This window comes from Homo sapiens, chromosome 5 (genome assembly GCF_000001405.40).
Source record: "Homo sapiens chromosome 5, GRCh38.p14 Primary Assembly".
Taxonomy (NCBI): domain Eukaryota; kingdom Metazoa; phylum Chordata; class Mammalia; order Primates; family Hominidae; genus Homo; species Homo sapiens.
In genome coordinates, this window is record NC_000005.10 from 176,328,243 (window position 1) to 176,345,995 (window position 17,753).

Sequence of the window (17,753 nt, forward strand, 5' to 3'; positions counted from 1 at the left end):
AAAATAATATTATATTAAATATACATATCTTTTTGTAAAAAAATGATAAAAATATACATGATTCTGATCATTTGTTTAAAAAAGAAACAAAGTTAAGGTAAGCCACAGACTAATAAAATTGCTTACATACAGAGAGTGGGTGGGAATGGGATAAAAAGGAGAAAAGGTACTGGGCTCGGTGGTAATGGTGGCAGTGGTGGTGGTGGTGGTAAACACTTCCCTGAGTATGCCTTTTTGTGTGGCTGTAAACACTTTTTAGAGTCATGTTAACCCATTTATGCCTGGGGTTCAACATTTTTTGTGTGAAAAATCAGACCTGGGCAATGACCTTGAGCAGTAGGATACAAATAACTCTCACAAGTTTAGCGTTCCAATAATGGAACACTGGGCATAAATTTAATGTTTTACATACTCAAAAAATCAAGTTCACAGGGTGCCAAAAATGGAATACAAACAGAAACAAGTTAACCTAACTGTATTTTAATAAAATAAAGGAGAGCTAGCATGGTGGCATGCACCCACAGTTCCAACTACTCAGGAGGCTCCAGTAGGAGGATCACTTGAGCACAGGCGTATGAGGCTGGCCTGGGCAACACAGCAAAATCCTGTTGGTAATTAATCAATAAAAATGGAAGGGGTGGAGGGACAGGCCCAGGTAACTTTTTTTTAACCTTTTATTTTTATTTTATTTTAAAAAATTGTAGATTCACAGGAAATTGCAAAACCTATTAGAAGTAGTGTATATCCTTTACACTGTTTTCCCCTAGATACAAGGGGAACTATAACTATAGTACAATATCACAAATAGGAAATTTACATTGGTACAATCCCAGACTTTATTCAGTTCTACCCATTCTCATGCACTCATTTGTGTGAAGCTCTTTTTAGTTCTATTACCTGTGTAGATTTTTATGACCGTCACCGCAGTCAAGATGTATAACTGTTCTGGCCGGGCGCGGGGGCTCACGCCTGTAATCCCAGCACTTTGGGAGGCCGAGACTGGCGGATCACGAGGTCAGGAGATCAAGACCATCCTGGCTAACACGGTGAAACCCCGTCTCTTCTAAAAATACAAAAAATTAGCCGGGTGCGGTGGCGGGCGCCTGTAGTCCCAGCTACTCGGGAGGCTGAGGCAGGAGAATGGCGTGAACCCGGGAGGCGGAGCTTGCAGTGAGCAGAGATAGAGATAGTGCAACTGCAGTCCAGCCTGGGCGAAAGAGTCCAGCCTGGGCGAAAGAGCGAGACTCCCTCTTTAAAAAAAAAAAAAAAAAAAAATGTATAGCTATTCCATCATCACAAGGATTCCTTGTGCTACCCTTTTATAGCTACAATCATCCATCCTCCCAGCTACTGGCAAACGCTAATCTGTTCTCTGACTGTGTCAAAGTAACTTAAAACACAATATTTGGACTAAATGTCATAATGGTAAAGACAAAATGAACTGAACTCTAGTTAGTAGGTTTCTTTTTCGCAGAGATATAGATATACAATTCAAAAACGATTTTATGTGTATTCTAGGATTAAACAAATAAATATATTGTGAATACTGAGTGCCAAGTTTCTCACTGTCAGAGAAAAGATTTACACATATGAAAAGGGGAAAGGATAGAATGAACCCTGTGGTACTGGATTGGAATTGGAGGTATCAGTATGAACTTGTGGTTTCTAATAAATATAGAGATAGGAATAGATGTAGATGTGTGAGGGCTTGTTTACATATATTATATATACACATACGTCTGTGTGTATTCATACATATGTTTCCTACCTCTGCCCACTGAGAGAGCATGGAAGCAATTATATCTTAGTAGCAGTGGAGCACACCTCATACCCAGATCTTTGTTTTTAAATTCCAGTTTACATGAAAGGGAACCAGGGCCAGGTGTGGTGGCTCACGCCTGTAATCCCAGCACTTTGGGAGGCCAAGGTGGGCAGGTCACTTGAGGTCAGGAGTTCGAGACCAGCCTGGCCAACATGGTGAAACCCTGTCTCTACTAAAAATAAAAAAATTAGCTGGGCATGGTAGCATACGCCTGTTATCTCAGCTACTTGGAAGCCTGAGGCAGGAGAATCGCTTGAAATCAGGAGGTGGAGGTTGCAGTGAGCTGAGATCGCACCACTCCACTCCAGCCTGGGCAACAGAGCAAGTCTCCATCTCAAAAAAAAAAAAAAAAGGGAACCAGAATTCCTTGAAGGAATGACTAACTCCAGAACTGTGTTAGGTAAAGTACAAGATGAGCCTGGAACATCTTGTGCCACAAAGTAAGGAAATATTCAAAGACTATTCAGAACATGTCAAAAGACACAGGAGTCAGCTTAAAGGGGCTTTCAGTGACCAAATCTGGAATAATTTGAGCTCCAAAATGAATATTGACAGTAAAATAATATTATCTGTTGAATAAAATAGGAATCTGTGATTCCAGTGCTGATAGGAAGAAAGAGACGGGACCCCCTTTCTTACAGTAAAAAGCCAACTAATGTTAGAAAAAATGATGAATTAGGCAGAAATACTGTTTGGCAACCATCATAATATTCAGACGTGAATGGATACTAACATGGTGAAAGATTGTGGAGTAACAAGATATTTGCATGGTCTCTAAGTATGTTCCCACAAGATACTTATTTATTACAAAGGGAAAAATAGCAACTTTACAATGGAGACACTACCATAGTCAAGTGATCAAAGTTCACACCAACAATGGGACAAATTGATGTCATGTGCCTTTTTATACAAGGCATTGAGAACAACAAAACACCATTTTTTCAGTACTGCCAAAAATGTATAACCTTCATCCATTCATGGGAAAAGTTCAGCCTAATGTCAAATGAGAGATGTTCCTTGAAAAAAACTGGCATGTGCTTTTCAAAAATGTCAGTATCCACTTTGGGAGGCCAAGGCGGGTGGATCACGAGGTCAGGAGATCAATACCATCCTGGCTAACACAGTGAAACCCCGTCTCTACTAAAAATACAGAAAATTAGCCAGGCATGGTGGCAGGCCCCTGTAGTCCCAGCTACTCGGGAGGCTGAGGCAGGAGAATGGCGTGAACCCAGGAGGCGGAGCTTGCAGTGAGCCGCGATCGCGCCACTGCACTCCAGCCTGGGCGACAGAGCGAGACTCTGTCTAAAAAAAAAAAAAAAAAGTCAGTATCATGAAAGACAAAGCAATGTAAAGCAATTCTCCTGCCTCAGCCTTCTGAGTAGCTGGGATTACAGGTGCCCCCACCATGCCCTGCTAATTTTTATATTTTTAGTAGGGAAAGGGTTTCACCATGTTGGCCAGGCTGGTCTCGAACTCCTGTCCTCAAGTGATCCACCCACCTTGGCCTCCCAAAGTGCTGGGATTGCAGGCATGAGCCACTGCACCCAGCCCTATGTCTGCAACTTACTCTCAGATAATTCAAAGAAAAACAGACAGACAGATGGATAAAGAAGATGTGGTAGGCCAGATGCAGTTGGCTCATGCCTGTGATCCTAGCACTTTGGGAGGCCAAGGTGGGCGAATCAGCTGAGGTCAGGAGTTCAAGACCAGCTTGGCCAGCATGGTGAAACTCCATCTCTACTAAAAATACAAAAATTAGCCAGGTGTGGTGGCGGGCGCCTGTAATCTCAGCTACTCAGGAGGCTGAGGCAGGAGAATCGCTTGAACCCAGGAGGCCGAGGCTGCAGTGAGCCAAGATTGTGCCACTGCACTCCAGCCTGGGCAACAGAGCAAGACTGTCTAAAAAAAAAAACAAACAAACACAAACTTTGCATTATTCTTGCAATTCAGTATGTCTGAAATTGTCAATACAAAAAGATAAGAAAAAAGGTTATGTTTATTGTAAACAGTATATAGTTGGCATTTGTTGTTTTAGCCAGCTGAAAATTCCTGCTCTTTAATATAAGTATTGGTTTTATACCTGTAATCTGACTATTTGTTTCCTGTTTGTTCTTTCTTCCTCTTCTGGCTTTTGGATTGATTGAAGATTTTCTATTATTCCATTTTATCTCTCCTGTTGGCTTTTAGTTCTCTTTTTTAAATTAAAATCTTTTTGTTTGTTTTTGTTTGTTTGCTTGTTTTTTGAGACAGAGTTTTGCTTTTGTTGCCTAGACTGGAGTGCAATGGCACGATCTCAGCTCACCACAACCTCCGCCTCCCGGGTTCAAGAGATTCTCCTGCCTCAGCCTCCCAAGTAGCTGGGATTACAGGCATGCGCCACCAGACCCGGCTAACTTTGCATTTTTAGTAGAGACGGGGTTTCTCCGTGTTGGTCAGGCTAGTCTCGAACTCCCGACCTCAGGTTATCCACCCGCCTCAGCCTCCCACAGTGCTGGGATTACAGACATGAGCCACCGTGCCTGGCCTTAGTTTATTTTTAGATTAAAATCTTATTTTGACATAATTGTAAATTCACATGCAATTTTAAGGAATGTTAAATATTAAATAGTATTAGATAAATATTGTATTCAATATTACATATTATTGGATAAAAATAAATATAAACTTTATTCAATATTAAAATTATTAAAGAGTTCAGAGACAACCCAGATAATCTTTTTCCAATTTCCCCCAATGGTAATATATTACAAAACTATAGTACAGTATCACAACCAGGATATTGTGATTGACATAAGCCAAGATATAGAACATTTCCATCACTTCAAGGATTGCTCTTCTTGCCTTTTTATAGCCACACCCACTTCCCTCCCATCCCAACCCCTTTCTTAACCCCTTTCAACCATTAATCTGTTTTCCATTTTTTATATTTGTGTCATTTCAAGAATGTGATATAAATGGCCTAGGCACAATGGCTCACGCCTATAATCCCAGCACTTTGGGAGGCCAAGGTGGGCAGATCACTTGATGTCAGGAGTTCAAGACCAGCCTGGCCAACACGGTGAAACCCCGTCTCTACTAAAAATACAAAAATTAGCTGGGCGTGGTGGTGCGCACCTGTCATCTCAGCTACTTGGGAGGGTGAGACAGGAGAATCACTTGAACACAGGAGGCAGAGGTTGCAGTGAGCCAAGATTGCACCACTGCACTCCAGCCTGGGCGACAGAGCAAGAGTCCATCTCAAACATAAAAAGAAAAAGAAAATGATATAAATGGAATCATTTGGTATATAACCTTTTGGGACTGGCTTTTTTTCACTCAGCATAATTCCCTGGTGATTCATCCAGGTTGTGGGGTTTTTTTGGTGTTTTGTTGTGTTTTGTTTGAGATAGGGTCTCACTCTGTCGCCCAGACTGGAGTCCAGTGGTGCAATCTAAGCTCACCGCAACCTCTGCCTCCCAAGGCTCAAGTGATTCTCCTGTCTCACCCTCCCAAGTAGCTGAGATGACAGGTGCGCACCACCACGCCCAGCTAATTTTTGTATTTTTAGTAGAGACGGGGTTTCACCGTGTTGGCCAGGCTGGTCTTGAACTCCTGACCTCAGTTGATTCCCCCACCTGGGCCTCCCAGAGTGCTGGGATTACAGGTGTGAGCCACTGTACCTGGCCTAAATACAGATTTTTAATATTTTTTTTTTTGCCCCAACCTCTCTTATCTTCTGGGAATCTAAGTGTACATATAGATCTGTTCCACAGATCACTGAGGCTCTGTTTTTTTCTATTGCTGTTTAGTTTCATTTATTTTGTTTTCTCTCTTTCTCTCTCAATAGTCTTTAAAATCCATTTTTTTAATTCCCCCAGTGCCCAATCTGCTGTTAAGTCTATTATTGGTTTTTTTTTTTTGGAACTAGAGTTAACATTTGGTTCCTTTTTATTCTTTTTGCTGCAAGTCTTCATCTAGTCACTCATTATGTACATCTTAATTTACTTGCTTGCTTTTGAAAATCTTGAACATATTTATAATAGTTGTCTAAAAGCCCCTCACAACTAATTCCAACATGTATGTCACCTCTTGGTCTGTTTCTATGGACATTTGCTCCTGGTTATGAATTACATCTTCCTGCTTTTTTTACTTGTCTGGTAATTTTTATTGTGTTCTGGACATTGTGGGCACTACATTGTTGAGAGTCTGGATTTTGCTCTCTTTCTTTAAAGAGTATTGACTTTTATTCTGGCAGGCAGTTAATTTGCTGGCAGATTAGCTTTTTCCTGTTGAGGCTTGTTTCTAGGATTTGTGAGGTTGGTTCCACAGCAGCCCTTATTAAGGAGCTACATTCTTGAGGCTTAATCTTTCTGGGGTCTCAACTGAATGTCCAGGATATTCAGTGAGATCTCTCCACACTGACTCCTTGAAACACCAGTATCTTTCAGCACTCTGAGATCTCCAGAATTCCCAGCCAGCTTGCAACCCCCCAGTAGCTGTTCTCCACCAGGCTTTTGGGGCTTCCCCTACACATGTGCCAACAGGTTCCCTTACACACATTTCCTGAGCACCCTATTCTCTGACACAAATTCTAGACACCTCAGCTGTCCTAAACTCCAGCCTCTGTTTTGTCTGCCCAAGAAGCCCCCTCTCTTCTATTTTAGACCCACACCTTCCTCTGCCTTCATTAGAAAGTGCCCCCAGCAAGAAATCTGGAGTACATGAAGTTTACCACCTTTGTTTCTCTTCTCTCAAGAATCACAGTCCTGCAGGGCACAGTGGCTCATGCCTATAATCCTAGCATTTTGGGAGGCAGTTGGGGTGGATCACCTGAGGTCAGGAGTTCGAGACCAGCCTGGCCAACATGGTGAAACATGTCTCTACTAAAAATACAAAAATTAGCTGGGCATGGTGGTGGGTGCCTATAATCCCAGCGGCTCAGGAGGCTGAGGTAGGAGAATTGCTTGAACCCGGGGGGTGGGGGTGGAGGTTGCAGTGAGCTGAGATCAGGCCACTTCACTCCAGCCTGGGCAAAAGAGCGAAACTCTGTCTCAAAAAAAAAAAAATAATAATAATAATCATCACAGTCCTTTGTAGTAAGTTCTCTAATGCCTGAAAATGGTTGTTTTCTATATTTCCTCTGGTTTTATCATTGATTATGACAGAAAGGAAAGTCCAACATCAGTTACTGTGTTGAGGCTGGATCTAGATGTTGGCCTTTCTTTGTATCTTTTTTTTTTTTTTTTTTTTTTAGATTGAGTCTCGCTGTGTTGCCCAGGCTGGATTGCAGTGGTGCAGTCTTGGCTCACTGCAACCTCGGCCTCCCAGGTTCAAGCGATTCTCCTGCCTCAGCCTCCCAAGTAGCTGGGACTACAGGTGCACACCACCACGCCTGGCTAATTTTTTGTGTTTTAGTAGAGACAGGGTATCACCGTTTTTGCCCAGACTGGTCTCGAACTCCTGAGCTCAGGCAGTCCACCCGCCTCGGCCTCCCAAAGTGCTAGGATTACAGGCATGAGCCACCACGCCCGGCCTTGTTTTTAAATTTTTAATTTGAATTGCTCTAGGTAATTCTACGTACAGTTCCTACTGTGTTCCATATATTGAAATTATGTCCTTGTCCTTTGTAGATCTCTGAGTTTACCATCTGCAGATTATAAAGCAAGCCCTGGCACAAAAATTAGAAGAGAAAATAGTTTCAAATAAAAAAATACTATGGCCAGACACAGTGGCTCACGCCTGTAATCCCAACACTTTGGGAGGCCAGGGTGGGAAGATTGCTTGAGCCCAGGAGTTTGAGGCCAGCCCTGACAACATAGTGAGACCGCATCTCTACAAAAAAAATAATAATTAGCCAGGGACAGTGGCACACTCCTGTAGTTCCAGCTACTTGGGAGGCTGAGGTCAGAGGATCACTTTGAGCCCAAGAGATTGAAGCTGCAGTGTGTGATGATCACACCACTGCACTCCAGCCTGGATGACAGAGTGAGACCTGTCAGAAAGGCAGGGGTGGGGTGAGGGATGAAGGGAGAGGGAGGGAGGCAGGGAGGGGGAGAGAGAGAGAGAGAGAGAGATTAGAAAGCAAGAGAAAGAAAGAGAGAAATACCTCCTGCGTTGAGCCTTTTTTGCCCCTCGTAGACCACTCTCACCAGTGCTTCTGCCTCCATAGGAAGGCCACTTCCAGTCCCCAAATGTGCTCTCTTCTGTGTATCTCTGGAGCACCACTAGCACTTTGCATACAAGTACACTTGCCCTGCACTTTTTAAAGTTCCTTTTGCATACCCCTTGCCCCTGTTCAACTATCAGCTTTTTGAGAGTGGTTCCTTTTATTTATCTTAATATTCCTTGTTGTGCCAAATAGTATTTGGCACATCATTGGCATTCAGAAATATTCTCATGATTAATTTTCATAGTGACAATGTGTAGTAATTATTTTTAATGTGTCCTAAACTTGTCTTTGTCAAATGTGAAAGACTTTTTCCTCATTCTAGCAGTTGCTAATCCAACAAACCCATTTCTACCCTGTCCACAGGTTTTGTGATTCTGTGGGCTTCCATGGTATTCCTTCTTAACTGTCTTTTTTAGGACAAATGTTGTACATTCAGGGTGAATTGTGGCTCATGTTCTTTGAAGCATAGTTGTGATGATTAACTCCCTCTTCCTCTTCTCCACACAGAGAAATGTTCTTTACTACCATGGAAAGCCACCTTCTGCGCTGCAAAGTGTTAGAAATCATATTCCTCCACAGCTGTGAGACACCCACCCGCCTGCCTCTGTCTCTGGCCCAGGCCCTCTACTTTCTGAATAATTCTACGTCACTGCTCAAGTGTCAGGTACATTTTTTCCTGCCCAATTTCAGGCCTAGAGCACCTCTCTTTGCTCTAGGCCCGAACCCTTCCCATAGGATTTTAGCTTAAAACACAACTGTTTGAGCATTCTGTAAAGGTGAATTGAAAACTGTACAAAAATTTTAACTGGGGAAGGCATTTATTATCAATCCATTTTACTATCTCTGCAGTCAGATAAAAGCCAGTGGCAGACTTGGGACGAATTGGTTGAGCATCTGCAGTTTCTGCTGTCCAGTTATCAACATGTTTTAAGAGGTAAGGAGCATTTGTTCACAAGTGGAGTAGTGGAAGGTCTCAATGGACATTTGTATTAGTCATAACTACACAGGATATTCTGATTTGTTGACATTGTTCCTTGGTTGTATGTAACTTATTATAAGGGATAAGAAATGACATAGCCGGAGTCACCACTGTGAAAAGAATTCACATATTCTTGTTATGGCCGACAATACATGGTCCTCATAGTTGTAAGATTGTGTAGGTAAGCAGAAGTCATCAGAACCTCCAGCCTGGCCAACATGGTGAAACCCTGTCTCTACTAAAAATACAAAAATTAGCCAGGCGTGGTGGTGTATGCCTGTACTCCCAGCTACTCAGGAGGTTGAAGCAGGAGAATCATTTGAACCCAGGAGGCAGAGGTTGCAGTGAGCCAAGATCATGCCACTGCATTCCAGCCTGGGCAACAGAGTGAGACCCTGTCTCAAGGGGGGCGGAAAAAAAGAGAAGTCATCAGAACCTGAGAAGGACTCAGGAATGCCTGAAGACCCCTGGCATCCTCCCTTGGCCTGTCACTGCAGCATCTTTGCTCACTGACTGTGGACATTGTAAACATTGTAAACATCCGTCAATACAATGTAAGTACAGAGCAAATCAGGAGCAAGGTGAACATGTACATCTTGCAGAAGATGTAAGGTACTCTAAGTCTATGAAAGTGGCTCTTCAGAGCTGCTTGGGTCACAGGTGAAGCCAGTGACCAATGACGATGTAGGAGAGTTAGACCAGGTAACCCTCAGAAGGTAAATGTTGACCAGGATAATGATGGAATAGCTGCTTCAAATGAGAATGATTTTATTAGCCAAGGATTAATGAGGCCTGTGGGGAAACTGAAGAACTGATGAATTATTAATTACTAGAGGAAAAATAGTAACTTGCTAGGGGAGAAACCTGGCATTCTTCCTGGATGTGATTGACGGAGAAGGATGCATCATCATGTATGTAATGTTCTTGCCAAAAGTTCATGACCTGGATCCAATGGCCAGGACACTTCAGACAAAACCAGATTGAGTGACCTTTTATAAAATAACTGACCTGTACTTTTTTAAAGTGCCAGTGTTTTAAAAACAAAGACAGACTGAGATACTCTTCCACATTTAAAAGAAACTAAAGCACATAAATACTACATACAAGGCATGACCCTAGGCTGGATCCTGAACAGGAGAAAAGAAGTCATAAATGGGGAGACGAGAGTTTTCCAGAAAGAAAGAACAGCATGTCCTAGAGCCTTGAGGCTCTAGGACACACTAAGTTGCTTAGTGTGAGTCCAAGGAACATAGAACAAACTAGCAGGGCAAGGCTGTAGTACATTGTTCGGACAATTGGTAAAACTTTAGTAGATTAGATAACATTATTGTGTCCATATTAAATTCCCTATTTTTGATAATCATACTGGATTATGATAGTAAATGTCCTTGGCCTTAGGAAATCCATACTGAAGTATTGAGGGGTAGAGGGGTATAGTGTCTGCAACTTATTCCCAAATAGTGAGGGAAAAAAGTATACAAGTGAAATACACCTGCCCATGATCATATTTATGTTTATTTTAACTCAGTAATGGCACTTGGGAAAGTAAGATAGCTCTCAGACCCTCTCAGGCCAGGAATTGAGAAAGCTGTTGTAGAGACTTTAAAAAAAAAAAAAAAGTACTGGATTTAAGACAGAAAGTCTGAGTTTAAATCCGAACTTCACCATTTACTCAGTGTTGGGCAGCTAACTGTGTCTCTAGGCCTCGGTTTCTTCCTTCTATAGAATGGGGATGATAGTATGTAACTTGCAAGGATTATTAATGAGTGAAAAAAGTAATGTGTTTAATGTTCATTGAATCTGTCTTCCTGCGTCCCTGGGCAGAGGTAGGCTAAGGGTCTTCTCTGTGTTTCAGACTGTTGTAACTCACACTTAAAAGAGTACATTGTCGGCCAGGCATGGTGGCTCACGCCTGTAATCCCAGCACTTTGGGAGGCCGAGGCGGGCGAATCACAAGGTCAGGAGTTCGAGGCCAGCCTGACCAACATGGTGAAACCCCGTCTCTACTAAAAATACAAAAAAATTAGCTGGGTATAGTGGCGGGGTCTTGTAATCCCAGCTACTCAGGAGGCTGAGGCAGGAGAATCATTTGAACCCGGGAGGTGGAGGTTGCAGTGAGCCAAGATCGTACCACTACACTCCAGCCCTGGCGACAGAGTGAGACTCTGTCTCAAAAAAAATAAAAGAGTATGTTGTCCAGTCCATGCATGATATGTGGTTGTGCAGTTTGTGCATTTGTAGCACCCTCAAAGAAAGGTGCATGTCCTTCTCCAAACAAAGACCCGAAGGCAAGTTCCATGTGTTCTTACCCTCAGTGAGGCTTATGTAATTGTTTTGGAGATTACCAGAAAGGTTAATATTAACAGCTTGTTTTAAAGTTCACCTTTAACATTTCTTGTTCCTTTCTATTTTGATTCCCGGGGAATACACCTATCATGGGCAATAATGACTTAAGGTGGAAACGGAATCTACTTTTATTACAGAATATTTTTTATGTTTTGATAAGAGAGAGAAAGGCCTCAAACCAGTATATATTGACCAAGAATAAATGGGGTGTGTTGCAGTGCTGTTTTATCCTTAAATGTTTGTTCCAGCTTCTTTGGGGTCCAAGAGTTAGGAAGGAGGAAAATTAGCACTAGTAGTTTGAAAACATTGTCCTGCAAAGAACACAGCCGAATGGTACCCAGCAATAGTCAGCGTCCTTGTCAGTCAGTAAGCATCTTACTGTGAGGGCCCTTCGTCTCATCTCTGCCTTCTGCGAGTGGTCTGTGGATGTTGTTGAGGGCATTTTGAGATCAGTCTGAGTTGTCTAGCTCCACTAGTTGTCTAGCTGCAAGAGTGGGAGAAGAAGGGAAGGGATTAGAGAGCCCAAGCTTTCCTTTTGTTTAGGGGAACTCTCAGCATGGAGGAAGAAAGGAAAAGAGATTAGGTAAATTCACCTGCACTGGTTTATATAATCCAAAAACCTTGTGAAGGTATCACCCCCTGTTATAGATGGGAAAACAAAGGCTGAGAGAAAAGCAAATGCAGAGCTAGGATTCAAACAGGTCTGTCAGAGACACGGATTCTGGGCTGTCAATTGAGCTCATGTTCTTGTTCTTTGGCCGAGAGAATCAATCCCCCCCACCCCAGTTGCATAGCCATGTGGCTCAAGTTTCAGCCTCAGCAAAATTACAAAGTGCTGCCTGTCATGGAGTTTATGAGTATGAATTCTAGGGATTTGAACATATAATATTTCAATGAACAAATGCATGCTTTTCCTGAATCCTGCTTATCTGGCCAGCATAGCTTGCAGAAGTCAGTCACAGTCATTCTGAGGCCAGTCACACACACGGTCTCCCTGCAAGGAGCCCTGTCCACGGACGGGGAAAAGCAGAAGCAGGTAGGATCAGTTCAATTCATATATTTATCCAGGCAACAGATATCTACTGAATGTCCTCTCTGTCCTCTGTGCTCACTGGGAAAACCTTAATGAATAAGACCAGCATGGCATCTGCCCTCACAGAGCTTACTGTTTAGTGGAGAGATTGATCCTAAATGAATAATGATACAAGTAACCTATAGTTACATAGAGTAAATGCTATGAAGGAAGTACAAGTGCACAAAATCTATTTTTGGAGGGATCCAGGAAGGCCTCCCTGAAGAAGTGATACCTCATCTAAGACATTAAGTAGGCGGGGCGCAAGGGCTCACCCCTGTAATCCTAACACTTTGGGATGCTGAGGTGGATGGATCACCTGAGGTCAGGAGTTCAAGACCAGCCTGGCCAACATGGCAGATCCCCATCTCTACTAAAAATACAAAAATTAGCCAGGCGTGGTGGTGGGTGCCTGTAATCCCAGCTGCTTGGGAGGCTGAGGCAGGAGAATTGGTTGAACCCGGGAGGCAGAGGTTGCAGTGAGCTGAGATCGTGCCACTGCACTCCAGCCTGGGCAGCAGAGCAAGACTCCATCTCAAAAAGAAATAAATAAAAGACATGAAGTAATGGTGTTAGCCAGGCAAATGGGGAGACAAGAGTTTTCCAGAAAGAAGGCACTGAATGTCCAAGGGCCTTGAGGCAAAAAGATGCTTAGTGAGTCCAAGGAACATAGAACAAGCTAGCAGGGCAAGGATGTAGTGAGTAAGGGGAGAATAACACTAAATGAGACTAGAATAGTCCATGGAGGAGGTTGTGAAGGGCCATCTTGGCCATGCTAAGGAAATTCAGCTGGTTCTAATAACAGAGTGAAGCCATCAAAGTGGTTGGTTCCAAGTAAGGGAGTGTCATGATCAGATCTGCAAATTTAAAGGCTGCTCTACCTGATGTGTAGCGAATCATTTGGCAGAGGGCCAGAGGGGCCAGGGGAGGGGTAATGGTGACAAGGGTGTGGCAAGGACAGAAGGACAGTGGAGAAGGCAGTGGATGGGACAGAAGCACTTTGAAGATAACTTTGACAGGGCTCTTAAGTGACTGAGTCTGAAGGGTGACTCCCAGGGTTCTGCCATTACTGATATGGAGAAAGATCTGCAAAGAAGATGAAGAGCTCAGGTTTGACATATTAGGTAGGAGATTCCTATAGTGATGATGATGATGATGATGATGATGATGAAATAATAATTAACTCTTGTATTGATCCAAAACTACTAACAATACTATCAGCTGAAATATCTTGAGCCAGGCATTATGGCTCAAACCCTTTTCAATGCTAAATGTCCTCATACAGTAATCAGCAACCTCTGACATAACAACTCTTATCCCTACCGAAGCATAAAATCCAAGGCCTTGTTGACTAGACCAGCAGGGCTGAAGTCCACTGGCCAGGGTTTCCTCCCCCATAGACAGTGCTGAGATGGGCACTGCTAACATTTGCTTCTTTAACTTTCCTGCATGATTTAATAAACTCCACATTCTTCTTGCTTGCCCTCTAAGTTTCCCCTGTCCCACCCTATTCAGTCAACTTTTTTTCCACTTCTTTCAAAATCATTTTTGTATTTTTCAGAGTGGCACATGCCTTAAGAAAATCAAAGTCTACAAAAAGGCTCTTCCTAAGACAATTCCTAACTAGTCTCAAATAAAACAGCTCATATTTCCCTATTTACAACCCTCTAAGTCTATAGATACCCTGTTTGCTCTCAAAGGCCAAACTCCACATTATAATGTGGCCTACCCTACCTTCCAATCTCATCTAGTACTTGTCTCCCTTTTATTACTCTGATTTTTTTAAGTTTCTCGATTTATAAAGTCATTACCTTATGTTAGCTGAAACACTTTAAGTATCAAATGTAATTTTCATTGCCTTCCATGGATGCCATTAACGTGGTATATGCATCCCCAGTGCTTCCACCCAGTTCCAGAGGCTGGGAAGTCCAAGGTCGAGGGGCTGCACCCGGGAAGGACTTCTTGCTGCGTCTTACCACGGCAGAAGGCTTCCTACCCTGATTTTCTGTCTTGTTCTCTAAGCATGCTTTTCCTCAGGACATTTGCTATTGCTGTTCTCCATGGACTGCTTTTCCCTTTGACCTTTGCATGGTTGCCTCCTCATCCGTCAATACTCAGCTCACAGACCCTCCGTGGCTAGAGTGGGCTGCTTCCCTTATTCCCCTCAGTGTTACTGTTTATCACAGCATCTGATTTATTTATTTGATTGCATTTGCCACAAACTATAATCAATATTGTTGACTAACTTATCATCAGGCTTCCTGCAACTAGAATATCAGTCCACAAGGACTGGGCCCAAGGCTCTAAATTCCACTGTGTCCCCAGACTCTAGCCAGTTCCTGATATGCAGTAGGTGCTCAGTAAATGTGTGCTGTTTGAAGGTTGAAAGGGCCTTGCACTTCCATCTCAAGGCAGCTTTGTTTCCTGTGTTTCCAGACTTTTTGAACATGCTGTTGTATACTTACTGTACTTCTTCACAGATTACAGACTTTAGTTTTGAGAGATTTTGCTTTTCCATCATTTTATCTGAAGGTTGAGAAAAAACATATTGAATGTATTACTTGAAAATGTAACCTGATAAACCGCTTAAAATGTAACCTGATATACCACTTAAAATGATTTGTTCTGTGTCCTAAATCTGGATACAGTGTAGCTCAGTCCTTTTAATAACTGTTAGTGAAAGTGCCATCATCCCCGTTTGATAAATGAGGAGACTGAGAAATGATGGTGTACTTATGTGCAACTGGAAGTCTTCAAGTCCCCAGAACTCTCTCAATACATTTGCCTAATGTGACCTTCTGCTCATTTGCCTCAATTCCACACACTTCTAGAATCTATTGGGGCTGGCCTGTAGATTTGGGATGAGATACCTTTATAACTTTTTGTTTTCCTATTTTCATTTTTAGACCTACGGAAAAGTAGAAAGAATAGTATAACGAATGCCCATATATATACCGTTTACGCTGATTCATTAGCTTCTAAGATTTTGACACATTTGGTTTACCTATTGATCCATGTATATACCATTTTTTCTGAAACAGTTGATAAGTGCGCCATCATAATTGTATTGCTTAAGTACTTCAGCATGTTCAGCATGTATCTCCTAAGCGTAAGGATATTGTACTTCATACCACTGTGCATTATCACACTCACGAAACTTTTCTTTTTTTGTTTTTTTGTTTTGTTTTGTTTTGTTTTTTTTGAGACGGAGTCTAGCTCTGTCGTCCAGGCTGGAGTGCAGTGGTGTGATCTTGGCTCACTACAACCTCCACCTCCCGGGTTCAAGCAATTCTCCCACCCTCAGGCTTCCGAGTAGCTGGGATTACAGGCATGCACCACCATGCCCAGCTAATTTTTTTGTATTTTTAGTAGAGACAGGGTTTCACCATGTTGGCCAGGCTGGTCTCAAACTCCTGACCTCAGGTGATCTGCCCATCTCCGCCTCCCAAAGCACTGGTATGACAGGCATGAGCCACCACAGCCTGCCATGAAACTTGTTCTTGATAGAATATTATCTAATAGTGTCCCAGTAATATACTTTTTAGGTAGTTGATTTTAGATTGAGCCAGGATACGGTCAAATATGAAGCACTGTACTTGGCAGTCATACTCTTTGGTCTCCTTTAGTCCAGCACAGTTCCCAGCTTTTACTTGTCTTTCATAATAGACATTTTTTAAGAGTCCAGGCCAGTTATTTTGTACATGTCCTATGATTGGGATGTTTAATTGCTTACTCGTGATCACACTCATGTTAAATACTGTTGACAAGAACATGGAGTAGGCCAGGCACGGTGGCTCACACCTGTAATCCCAGCACTTTGGGAGGCCGAGGCTTGCGGATCACTTGAGGTCAGGAGTATACACACACACACACACACACACACACACACACACACACCTGAGACTGGGTAATTTATAAAGAAAAGTTTAGTTGGCTCACAGTTCTACAGGCTGTACAGGAGGCATAGTGGCCTTTGCTTCCAGTGAGGCCTCAGGAAACACAATCGTGGCTCAAGGGGAAGCAGACACGTTTTACGTGGCCACAGCAGAATAAAGAGTGAGGAGGTGCTACGTAAACACTTTAAACCACCAGACCTCATGATAACTCACCATCACTAGAACAGCACCAAGGGGATGGTGCTCAACCATTCATGAGAAATCACCCCCACCAGGCCCCACCTCCAACATCAGGGATTACAATTTGGGACTGTCTAGTTGTTTATTCATGATCATACTCATGTTAAATACTATTGGCTAAAACATGGACTAGATGAATATGTCTAATTGTTTCCTCAGTATTTTCATTTTTTGACCATGTTATGTGATCATAAAAAATGACACAGATCCAAACCATATCACTTTTTTTAATGTAAAACTTCTTAAGGACCCGAGAGAACTGAGAACAAAGGGCCTTTTGGAAGTGGAGTTACTGCAGGCACTCACACAGCCTTCGACTTGTATCCCTGTAGCTAGTCAGCAAGTCTTTGCCAAGACTCTACCTACCAAAATTAGACTTCTTAAAAAGAATTAAAAAGCAGTTCAGAGCACCCAACTGACTTTTTTCCCTCTTGCAGAACACTTAAGGAGTTCCGTGATCGACCGAAAGGACTTAATAATCAAAAGGATTAAGCCCAAACCCCAGCAAGGAGATGACATCACAGTGGTAGACGTAGAGAAGCAGATTGAGGCCTTCCGCAGCCGCCTGATCCAGATGCTGGGGGAGCCTCTTGTCCCCCAACTCCAAGACAAAGTGCACTTGTTGAAGCTCCTGCTCTTCTATGCTGCGGACTTGAACCCTGATGCAGAGCCCTTTCAAAAGGGCTGGAGCGGCTCCTGAGGGCCTGCCAAGCACTGAATGCCAAGAATACCTCCTGAACTCTCTCTCCAACTGCTCAGAAGCTCTAAAAGCATGAAAAGTGGTTAAAATCTTACAGGACCAAACCTGCATTATTTAATCAGTAGGTTGTAATTTCTAACTCTAGTAAATATCTTTTTTTAAATAATCCTATCCTAGCCTGTTCTCAAATATGGCTTAAATATACAAGGTATATATATTTTTTAATAAATTATTTATCTATACTTTTTTGAAACAGGTTAATACTCTGTGCATCACATGTTTAACATTTTCATTCAAGATGTGGAAAAAATCCCTCTGCTGAACCTAGTCTATACACCAATATTATGTCATTCAAGGTACCGACAACCTGTTTCAGGAGAGAGACGTTCATTTTTCCCTAATGAAATGCAAGCATTCTGTTAGACCTATTATATTGCCTGTTAATTTGACTGTAATGAATAGGGGGTAGAAACAAAAGGATCAAGTGTGTTATAAAACATTTGATGTTAAAAGGAGACAATAAAAAGGCAATGGTTTTTCAAAATACCAA

The 17,753-nt window shown here is 42.5% G+C and overlaps 1 protein-coding gene across 8 annotated transcripts in view; it reads left to right on the forward strand.

Annotated features, from left to right (window-relative positions):
- The window catches only part of SIMC1 (SUMO interacting motifs containing 1), a 107,566-nt gene extending 89,819 nt beyond the window's left edge, over positions 1–17,747 (forward strand). For 7 of the 8 annotated variants that reach the window (NM_001308196.2, NM_001308195.2, NM_198567.6 and 4 more), the window contains 3 exons: positions 8,478–8,634; positions 8,820–8,904; positions 16,941–17,747. In NM_001308196.2, coding sequence (NP_001295125.1) covers positions 8,478–8,634; positions 8,820–8,904; positions 16,941–17,203 — 505 coding nt within the window. In that variant the 3' untranslated portion in view covers positions 17,204–17,747. The remainder of the gene's footprint in view (positions 1–8,477; positions 8,635–8,819; positions 8,905–16,940) is intronic. The other variant, NR_131772.2, reaches the window with a different exon arrangement.
- Positions 17,748–17,753: the final 6 nt, after the last annotated feature.